The sequence below is a fragment of the Homo sapiens genome, chromosome Y (genome assembly GCF_000001405.40).
Source record: "Homo sapiens chromosome Y, GRCh38.p14 Primary Assembly".
NCBI lineage: Eukaryota > Metazoa > Chordata > Mammalia > Primates > Hominidae > Homo > Homo sapiens.
The window spans coordinates 15,365,553-15,376,787 of record NC_000024.10 but is presented as its reverse complement, the minus strand read 5'-3'; the positions used below and the strand labels follow the sequence as shown (position 1 = coordinate 15,376,787).

At 41.3% G+C, this 11,235-nt stretch overlaps 1 pseudogene; it reads left to right on the top strand.

Annotated features, from left to right (window-relative positions):
* PUDPP1 (pseudouridine 5'-phosphatase pseudogene 1) lies at positions 1,330-3,284 on the top strand (annotated as a pseudogene).

Below are 11,235 nucleotides of genomic sequence, written 5' to 3'. Positions count from 1 at the left end.
CAATTAGCTGTGCTTTGACAGAGCAGAACATGCAGAAGAATTGAAGAGTATAAAGAAATGCACAAGGTAATACTGGAAAGAAATTTAAAATCATGCTGGGATGCTAGCTCACATGATGTGCCAGCAACAGCGGTCAGATGATGTGCCGCTTTGATATTCTGAAATGAATTAGGCAGGATAAGACAAAATGATTAGAAATAATACTTAACCTGAAGGGAAAGCAAACTAGAGGAGGGCAATGTTGGATGTGATGTGTACAGCAGAAAGATAGGCTGTGCCTAATTTTGATCCAGAAATGTGTTCTTCCTTAGGGTTTCTGCTCAATATTACACCAGTCACAAAAATAAAAATAAAATAGAACTTCCATCCTAAAAGAACATTCTGGGAGGCCTAGTTTCCATTCATTTTCCACTCCTCCCACCTCGTTTTTTATCTGCACCAAGCCTGAATTCCCCTGGGAAGGTGACATTGTAGTGTCATTGCTCTGGTGACTACATTCAGCAAAATTTGCTGCTATCATCTTCCTTCTTCTAGGTGTTCATTTTGCTTAAGTACTACTTTGTTCCTGTTCTTAAGCTGTAGATCATAATATAACCTTTAATTTCATTTCTTTTCCTTCTGAAAGAATTTTGTGGTAGGATATGTTGGTTTGTGGAAGTCATCTTGACCTCATTAGAAAAGAAAGCTGCCTGTAGGGAGGGCTTAATTCAACATCATTATTTTTCATCTGCTTTCAAAGTGACAGCTGAGGCCAAGCAGGTATTTAGCAAGTTAAATGGCAAGAGTGAATGGTACATTACCAGGAGAAACAGCGCCTGATCATGCTTCAAGGACTGATTGCTGTGATTAGGCTCTGGGGGGTGTCTTCCTGGGCCAGTCACCAGGGAATCAGACTAATCCTGCTGTGGGGGTGTCTGCCTTGGCCATCACCAGAAAATCAGCCTGATTATGCTGTCAGGGTGTGTCTCCCTTGGTCAAACACAAGGGAATCAGCCTTATTATTCTGTGGGGTATGTCTTTCTTGGCCAATCACCAGGGCATCAGCAAGATTATGCTGCAGGGACATGTTTGCCTGGGCCAGTGACTAGGGAATCAACACCCTGATTATGGTGCAGAGGTATGTCCTTGCCTTGATCATGGTATAGAAGTATGTCTTTGCTCTGATTATGAAGCAGTGGCAAGTCTGCCTGATCAAGGTACAGTAGGGCTTTTTGCCTTGGTCAGTCTAGCTGCTAAGAAGACAAGGTGGACCTAATGGACTTGAAAGACGAGGCAGAACAGCCCTGAAGCACTCGCATATCAGCTGCCTATTTGCTGCCTAATCAGGTTTCTGGAAGCCCCTCTCTATAAAAAGGTGGGCAGGCCTATGATGTCCTTAGTGGGAAATCATTTTGAGCAGTTTATTCTGTAGGCATTTCCTACATGGCTTCATGGGTCATTGTAAACTGTCAGTCAGCCAAGACTGAAATTATTTTAAGAAAATAAAGTCTTTTAAATTGTGCAAACCTTAGAGTAAAAAATGCATGTGGTGCATTTCTTGTGAGTTCTAGGTATTTTAAAACAGAACAATATTACAACTGGAAATGTAAGTCGCATTACTTAAAAAAAACTCTTCTCTTGGGATAACAGAAAATCTTATTCAAAATATAGCCTGTGATGATTTCCTCCATTGTATCTTGAACAAATCCTTTCAGTAATGAATTTCTTGGGATAGATGAATTCCTTGCAGCTGCAAGGTACCATCTTGAAACAGGGAGCAGCCCTCTGCAGAGACAGACCTACAGTTGCCTTGATATTGGACTTCCCAGCCTCCAGAGGTGTGAGAAATACATTTCGATTCTTTACAAATTTTCCAGTCCCAGATATTCTGTTACAGTTGCACAAGCATACTATGACCTGAGGCTTTGCTGTAAGACAAACTTGGATTGTGTGTGGTCACACCTGGTCCAGTGAGTGGCTCCTAGAAGGCACTTGTGTCATTTCTGAACCCAGGAGGATCCAGTCCTCACTCTGAATCCCACCTTGAGGAGTCAGTAAGGTCATTCTCCATCCCTGCTCAGCTTTGTTGAAAAGCACACACCAGTCATGACATGGACATGATGCACATGACATGGGCTCTGGTCCTTTTTCTATCAAAACCGTGTCTTCCTCTTGTAAGTAAGCCTTCCTCCTCTAGCTTACTTAGATAATTATGGTTTCCATCATTCTACTTTTTCTCTTTTTCTTTTTATTTTTTATTATAAATTAAGTTCTAGGGTAGATGGGAGGAATGTGCAGGTTTGTTACATAGGTATACATGTACCATTTTGGTTTGCTGCACCCATCAACTTGTCATTTACACTAGATATTTATCCTAATGCTATCTCTCCCCCATCCTCCCATCCTCCAACAGGCCCCAGTCTGTGATATTCCCCACCCTGTGTCTATGTTTTCTCCTTGTTCAACTCCCACTTATGAGTGAGAACATGGGGTGTTTGGTTTTCTGTTCCTGTGTTAGTGTGCTGAGAATGATGGTTTCCAGCTTCATCCATGACCCTGCAAAGGATATGAATGTATGTGCCACATTTTCTTAATTGGGTATGTCATTGATGGACATTTGGGTTGATTCCAAGTCTTTGCTGTCATGAATAGTGCCACAATAAACATACGTGTGCATATGTCTTTATAGTAGAAAGATTCATAATCCTTTGGGTACATACCCAGTAATGGGATAACTGGGTTAAATGGTATTTCTAGTTCTAGATCCCTGAGGAATTGCCACACTGTCTTCCACAATAGTTGAACTAATTTACACTCCCACCATCAAGGTAAAAGTGTTCTTATTTCTCCACATCCTCTCCAGCATTTGTTGTTTCCTGACTTTTTAATGATGACCATTCTAACTGGTGTGAGATGGTATCTCATTGTGGTTTTGATTTGCATTTCAGTGATGACCAGTGATGATGAACATTTTTTCATATGTCTGTTGGCTCCGTAAATATCTTTCAGAAATGTCTGTTCATATCCTTTGCCCATTTTTTGAGGGGGTTGTTTGTTTTTTTCTCGTATATTTGTTTAAGCTCCTTGTAGATTTTAGATATTAACCCTTTGTCAGATGGGTAGATTGAAAAAATTTTCTCGCATTCTGTACATTGCCTGTTCACTCTGATGATAGTTTATTTTGCTGTTCAGAAGCTCTTTAGTTTAATTAGATCTCTTTTGTCTATTTTGGTTTTGTTGCCATTGCTTTTGGCATTTTAGTCATGAAGTCTTTGCCCATGCTTATGTCCTGAATGGTATTGCCTAGATCTTCTGGGTTTTTATGGTTTTAAGTCTTTAATCCATCTCGAGTTAATTTTTGTATATGGTGTAAGGAAGGGATCCAGTTTCAGCTTTCTACATATGGCTAGACAGTATTCCAAGCACTATTTATTAAATAGGGAATCCTTTCCCCATTTCTTGTTTTTGTCAGTTTCTCAAAGATCAGATGGTTGTAGATGTGTGGTGTTATTTCTGAGGCCTCTGTTCTGTTCCGTTGGTCTCTATATCTGTTTTGGCACCAACCATTCTGTTTTGGTTACTGGATCCTCCTAGCATAGTTTGAAGTCAGGTAGCGTGATGCCTCCAGCTTCCTTCTTTTTACTTAGATTAGTCTTGGCTATCTGGGCTCTTTTATGGTTTCATATGAACTTTAAGTAGTTTTTTCCAATTCTGTGAAGAAAATCAGTGGTAGCTTGATGGGGATAGTATTGAATCTGTAAATTATCTTAGGCAGTTTGGCCATTTTCATGATATTGATTCTCCCTATCCATGAGCATGGAACGTTCTTCTATTTGTTTTTGTCATCTTTTATTTCATTGAGCAGTGGCTTGTAGTTCTCCTTGAAGATGTCCTTCACATCCCTTGTAAGTTGGATTCCTAGGTATTTTATTCTTTTTGTCGTAATTGTGAAAGGGAGTTCACCCATGATTTGTATCCTGAGATTTTGCTGAAGTTACTTGTCAGCTTAAGGAGATTTTGGGCTGAGACAATGGGGTTTTCCAAATATACAATCATGTCATCCGCAAACAGACACAATTTGACTTCTTCTTTTCCTAATTGAATACCCTTTATTTTCTTTCTGTTGCCTGATTACTCTGGCCAGAACTTCCAGCACTCTGTTGAATAGGAGTGGTGAGAGAGGACATCCTTGTCTTGTGCCAGTTTTCAAAGGGAATGCTTTGAGTTTTTGCCCATTTAGTATGATATTGGCAGTGAGTTTGTCATAATAGCTATTATTTTGAAATACATTCCATCACTACCTAGTTTATTGATGTTTAGCTTGAAGTGCTCTTTAGCTTGACGTGCTTGAAGTGCTTGAAGTCCTCTTTAGCTTGAAGTGCTGTTGAATTTTGTCAAAGGCTTTTTCTGCATCTATTGAGATAATCATGGGATTTTTCTTGTTGGTTCTGTTTACATGATGGATTACATTTATTTTATTTTTGTATGTTGAACCAGCCTTGCATCCCAGGGATGAAGCCAAATTGATTGTGGTAGATAAGCTTTTTGAGGTGCTGCTGGATTTGGTTTGCCAGTGTTTTATTGAGGATTTGTGCATCAGTGTTCATCAGTGTTATTAGTCTAAAATTCACTTTTTTTGTTGTGTCTCTGCCAGGCTTTGGTTGGAATAGTTTCAGAAGGACGGGTACCAGTTCCTCTTTGTACCTCTGGTAGAATTCAGCTGTGAATCTGTTCTGGTCCTGGTCTTTTCTTGGTTGGTTGGCCATTAATTGTTGCCTCAATTTCAGAATGTGTTATTGGTCTTGTCAGAGATTCAGCTTCTCCCTGGTTTAGTCTTGGGAGGGTGTATGTATCCAGGAATTTATCCATTTCTTCTAGATTTTCTAGTTGATTTGCATAGATGAGTTTACAGCATTCTCTGATGGTAGTTTGTATTTCTGTGTGATGGGTGGTGATATCCCCTTTATCATTTTTTTATTGCCTCTATTTGATTCTTCTCTCTTTTCTTCTTTATTAGTTTTGCTAGTGGTCTATCAATTTTGTTGATCTTTCCAAAAAACTGGCTCCTGGATTCATTAATTGTTTAAAGAGTTTTTTTCTGCTTGACAAATTTTTCTCTACACACTGGTTTAAATGTGTGCCAGAGATACTGGTATTTTGTGTCTTTTTTCTCATTGGTTTCAAAGAACATCTTTATTTCTGCCTTCATTTTGTTATTAACCAGTAGTCATTCAGGAGCAGGTTGTTCAGTTTCCCTGCAGTTGTGCAATTTTCAGTGAGTTTTTAAATCCTCAGTTCTAATTTGATTGTACTGTGGCCTGAGAGACGGTTTCTTGCCATTTCTGTTCTTTTACATTTGCTGAGGAGTGTTTTACTTCCAATTATGTGCTTAATTTTAGAATAAATGTGATGTGGTGCTGACAAGAATGTACATTGTTTTGATTTGGGGTGGAGAGTTCTGTAGATGTCTATTAGGTCTGCTTCATGCAAAGCTGAGTTCAAGTTCTGGTAATCCTTGTTAATCTTCTGTCTTGTTGATCTGTCTAATATTGACAGTGGGGTGTTAAAGTCTCCCACCATCATTGTATGGGACTCTTTGTAGGTCTCTAAGGACTTGCTTTATGAATCTCTGTGCTCCTGTATTGGGTGCATATATATTTAGGATAGTTAGCTCTTTATGTTGAATTGATCCCTTTACCATTATTTAATGCCCTTCTTTGTCTCTACTGATCTTTGTTGGTTTAAAGTCTGTTTTATCAGAGATGAAGACTGCAACCCCTGCTTTTTTTTTTTCTTTCCATTTGCTTGGTAGATCTCCCTCCATTCCTTTATTTGAATCCTATGTGTTTCTCTGCATGTGACTTGAGTCTCCTAAATACAGTACAGTGATGGGTCTTGACTCTATCCTATTTGCCAGTCTGTGCCTTTTAATTGGGATATTTAGCCTGTTTAATTTAAGGTTAATATTGTTATGTGTGAATTTGATCCTGTCATTATGATGTTAGCTGGTTATTTTGCCGTTAATTGATGAAGTTTCTTCATAGCATTGATGGTCTTTACACTTTGGCATGTTTTTGCAGTGCCTGGTACCAGTGCTCCTTTCTATGTTTAGGGCTTTCTTCAGCAGCTCTTGTGAAGGAGGCCTGATGGTGAGAAAATCTCTCAGCATTTGCTTGTCTGTAAAGGATTTTATTTCTCCATCACTAATGAAGCTTAGTTTGGCTGGCTATGGAATCCTGGGTTGAAAATTCTTTTCTTTAAAATGTTGAATATTGGCCCCCACTGTCTTCTGGCTTGTAGGGTTTCTGCTGTTAGATCCACTGTAGTCTCATGGGCTTCCCTTTGTGTGTAACCTGACCTTTCTCTCTGGCTGCTCTTAACATATTTTTTCTTCATTTCAACCTTGGTGAATCCGACAATTATATGTCTTGGGTTTGCTCTTCTCTAGAAGAATCTTTGTGGTGTTCTATGCATTTCCTGAATTTAATGTTGGCCTGCCTTGCTAGGATGGGGAAGTTTTCCTGGATAATATCCTGATGAGTGCTGTCAAAACTGGTTCCACTCTCCCCGTTACTTTCAGGTACACCAATCAAAAATGTAAATTTGGTCTTTTCACATTGTCCCATATTTCTTGGAGGCTTTGTTCATTGTTTTTCACTCTTTTTTCTCTAATCTTGTCTTCTCACTTTATTTCATTAATTTGCTTCACCCACTGCTATCCTTTCTTCTACTGGATTGCATTGGCTATTGAAGCTAGTTTATGTGTCACAAAGTTCTTGTGCCTTGGTTTTCAGCTCCATCAGGTCATTTCTAGTCTTCTCTACATGTTTATTCCAGTTAGCCATTTGTCTAACCTTTTTTCAAGGTGTTTAGCTTCCTTGCAATGGGTTAGAACATGCTCCTTTAGCTCGGAGAAATTTGTTATTACCAACCTTCTGAAGCCTACTTCTGTTAACTTGTCAAACTAATTCTCCATCCAGTTTTGTTTCCTTATAGGTGAGGAGCTGAGATCCTTTGGAGAAGAGGTGCTCTGGTTTTTGGAATTTTCTGCTTTTCTACTCTGGTTTCTCCAATGTTTGTCATTGTATCTACCTTTGGTCTTTGATTTTGGTGACCTAGAGATGCAGTTTTAGTGTTGATGTCCTTTTTGTTGTTGTTGATGCTATTCCTTTCTGTTTGTTAGTTTTCCTTCTAACAGTCAGGCCCCTCAGCTACAGTTCTGTTGGAGTTTGCTGGAGGTCAACTCCGACGCTGTTTGCCTGGATATCACCAGCAGAGGCTGCAGAACAGCAAATATTGCTGCCTGATCCTTCCTCTGGAAGCTTCATCCCAGAGGGGCACCCACCTATATGAGGTGTCTGTTGGCCCCAAGTGGGAGGTGTCTTCCAGTCAGGCTACACTCGGGTCAGGGACCCATTTGAGGAGGCAGTCTGTTCATTCTCAGAGCTTGAATGCCATGCTAGGACAACCACTGCTCTCTTGAGAGCTGTCAGACAGGGTCGTTTAAGTCTGCAGAGGCTGTCTGCCTTTTGTTCAGCTATACCCTGCCCACAGAGTTGGAACCTAGAGAGGCAGTAAGCCTTGTGCAGCTGTGGCGGGCTCCCCTCAGTTCAAGCTTCCTGGCTGCTTTTTTGCCTTTTTTCTTTTTAATTTTGTTCTTGGTTTATTTTCTTACATCATTGTCTTCCTGACTGTTTACAGATACACCCCCACCCTTTCCATTAGGAACATCTGGCAGGAAGGCACTCATCCTCTGGAAGTCGGCTAAGAACTTGCCTCTCTTTCCTCTGAATTCTTGTGCATGTATTGCTGAGTAAGTGCTTGGGGGCACACAGGAGAAAGATCTCTTTCCTAATGGAGTGTGTCATCCATTTGGGGAGAGAGGTTAGGCGTATCTACCGTGTCCAAGTGAAAACCCATGGGAGGATATTGTTACAAACAAAATGAGAAATTCAGGAAAGAGTTGCCAAAGGGATATAGAATTAAGTAAAGCAAGATATTCTTGGAGTAGTGGCTGCTCCTGGGGTAGGGGGTGACCTTCTGGGAGTCCACAACAAAAGAGATACAGATTGGAGAAGCCATTTCAAAAGGAAAACAGCACATGTGGGGGATTCCAGTCTGCCAGTGAGTTTGCTTCTATACAGCATGAAGCCAAGCTTCTCATGGCTCACAAGCTTCAGAGAGGAATTATGGCTTTATGAGTTAACCTTCTTATTCCCCAGCTCATATGTTTGCTTTCTGGATAGGGACAACTATTGGGATTTTTAAAAGGAGGCATGTCAGAATGCAACCTGCACTTGGGGAGAATCCTCTGGGTTTGTGGCACACAATGCCTGCAGCCTAGAAGAGATGGGCCAGAGGAAGGCCAGGGTGATGGTAAAAGACATGCACCCCCCTTGACTGGGCCATGAGGTGTCCAGATGGTATATTCTTTGGAGTGTGTGTGTGAGGGTTTTTCTGGAGGAGATTAGCATTTGAATTGGTGGATTCAGTAAAGGAGATTTTCCTTTCCAATGTGTCTCATGAAACACATAATTTTTCATTTCTTGAAATTTGTCACTAGAGGAATGAAAGGATGATCTTAAGTAGGGAGAATATCCCTTCAGGATAAAAAAAAGAAAAAAACACAATCATGATATGCTTTTTTTTTTTTCCCCACTGGAGATAGAGTCTCATTCTGTTTCCCAGACTGCAGTACAGTGGTGCTATCATAGTTCACTGCAGCCTCTAACTGCTGGGCTGAAGCAATCTTTTCACCTCAGCCTCTGGCATGGCTAGAACTGCAAGTATATGCCACCACACCCAGCTAAGATTTTTTTCTTTTTTTCTCTTTTGTAGAGACAGAGTCTTGATATATTGCCAGTCTGGTCTCAAAACTCCTACCTCAAGCAATCCTCCTTCCTCAGCCTCCCAAAGTGCTGGGATTACAGACATGAGCCACCACACTGGGCTTTTTTTTTTTTTAATTACACAAATTACACTTGCTTCACACAATACAAAAATGCATAGCATTAAAATTGGAAGCCTTCTAACTCCCACTCCCTGGAGGTAACCATTACTCAGTGTTTAACTATTTAGGGTACATCGTTTTAGCCCTTTTCTTATGATGCCACTGTATTTGTGTGTAGACCCACATGTACACAGAGATATGCTAAACTACACTCACCTACATGCACCTTTATGGAATGAGGCCGCTGACTAATTCACCAACATCCAAAGCAAGTACCTATAGATTAATGGGACAGAAATCCCAAATGCTTTAATTAAATTTTTAGTCAATTTTTTTTTTTTTGGAAGTAGGTCTAACAAAAGTGATGACATCTTTTTCCTAGGCTCTTAAGTGAATTGTCACTGTGGATCCCTGAAATGCTGGACATCCCTTGGGATGGGAAGGCACTCAGAGCACTTCCTGCCTGGTAGCACTTACAAGTTGCATTAGTCTGTGCAGTGCTAACATGATTCTTGTGTCAAGGATAGCTTCCAGAGGACCTCAGCAAGCAAGCTGTTCTGCTTTGGTTTGTCCTCCTTAGTGATGGAGGTATTGTGCTGTCCACACATTTACAGTCCTGTAGATTTTCATATGTCCACACTGACACAGTCACATCTCTTGTTCCGTCTCCTGTGCCAGTGGCTTCAGGGCCAGCTGTTACCTTTAGGAACCAGAAAGCACCAACGTCAGCTACCAGGCCAGGAAGGAAGCCAGCAGAAGAATTATAGCCCTTGGTTTATAGGCTGCTTTGATAATCCATTACTTTCTAAGTCTGGTCAGCGGGCCTCAGTGTTGAGGGGCAGTATAACACCTAGGTGGCAGGAGCCTCACAGGAGAGGGACCCATTTGTGTACATGTCACAAACTATGTCTCCACCTGCCTGTCATTCCTGGCCTCCCCTCATCCAGATTTATCACCTGGTGCTGGGGCTATGCCAGTTAGATCTACCCAGGGTGTTGGGGCTTCGAGTCTCATTAGATGGACAGTGCCTAGGAACCCCAGAACACATTCTCTGTGCCATGTTCAGGAAACATACACCCAAAGAGTATTCATGCCCCTTGTCCTTGTTGGTGTCCACTATGGTCGTGTTGGTTCACAAGCATTGAGGACTCGCTGCATGTCATGTTTTCAGTGCTTTCACTCATGGGGGTATGTGTCAGCCTCCTGCCACCTCTAAGAAGCAGCCAGTCTTAGCACAGAGAATGGCAGAGAGGGCTGCAGGGGTCAAGTTTCTTGCCCAAAAGCTTGCAGCCTCTGATTATGGAGGCTGGCCTCAAACCCAGTTGGGGAATGAAGAGTCCATAGCTCTTAGCTACGGTGCTCTATTGCCCCAGATGATGTGGCGGTGACCTTCTGTTGAGGTAGACAACATCAGAGTACAAAGGGGAGAAGATGTGTTCTGACACAGGCCACAAGGCTGAGCCCTTTAAGGCCTGTATAAGTCATGTGGATAAGTCCCCAGTTCTTGGGGAGTCTGCCTTGCCCCTCTCCGTTTCTGGTAGTGGTTTCAATTTGGGAGACTCAGCTGATTCTCAGGCACTGGAGGGGCCCTGCTGGCAAAGCTGGACCTCAGGGATTTTTACTTAGGCAGATTGTACTTCTTGGATAATAGCATAATTAACGGACACATACAACAAGTGAAAAGGGAAATTGTATGCAGACAGTTATGGTAACACATTCAACTTATGCTGTACTCCTGTTGCTTTTAACAAATCTAATTAGCCCCATGTTCAGGAAAATTTGTGATTGTAGGGAGGAAGAAGCCCATTTGCCAGTCAAATGTAAATGACGAGTCTTTAAAATTCTTACTCCCTTTTTCCTTTAAAATATCACATTATTCGATGATGTATATGGACATTATTCCTCTTTTCTGACTATGGTGGCTTTCATAGGCAGCTAATTGCCTTGTTATTTAGCAAATTGTAATGAAAACATCCTAGACTAAGGAAAATAAGATACAGATCTTTGCTTCTGATCATCCTAGATATTACCTCACTGCGCAGGTGGAGATGTTTCTCAAATAATTACAATTTCTGTTTTTTGCTTTGTTTGTTTGACATAGGATCTTACCCTCTTGCCAAGGCTGGAGTGTAGTGGTCAGTCATGGCTTACTGCAGCCTTGACCTCCCGGGCTCAAGTTATTCCCCCACCTCACCCTGCTGAGTAGCTGACACTACAAGTGTATGCCCACCATGCCCAGCTTTTTTTTTTTTTTCTTTTCTGTAGAGACATGGCCCTAGGCTGATTTCAAACTCCTGGGTTCAAGT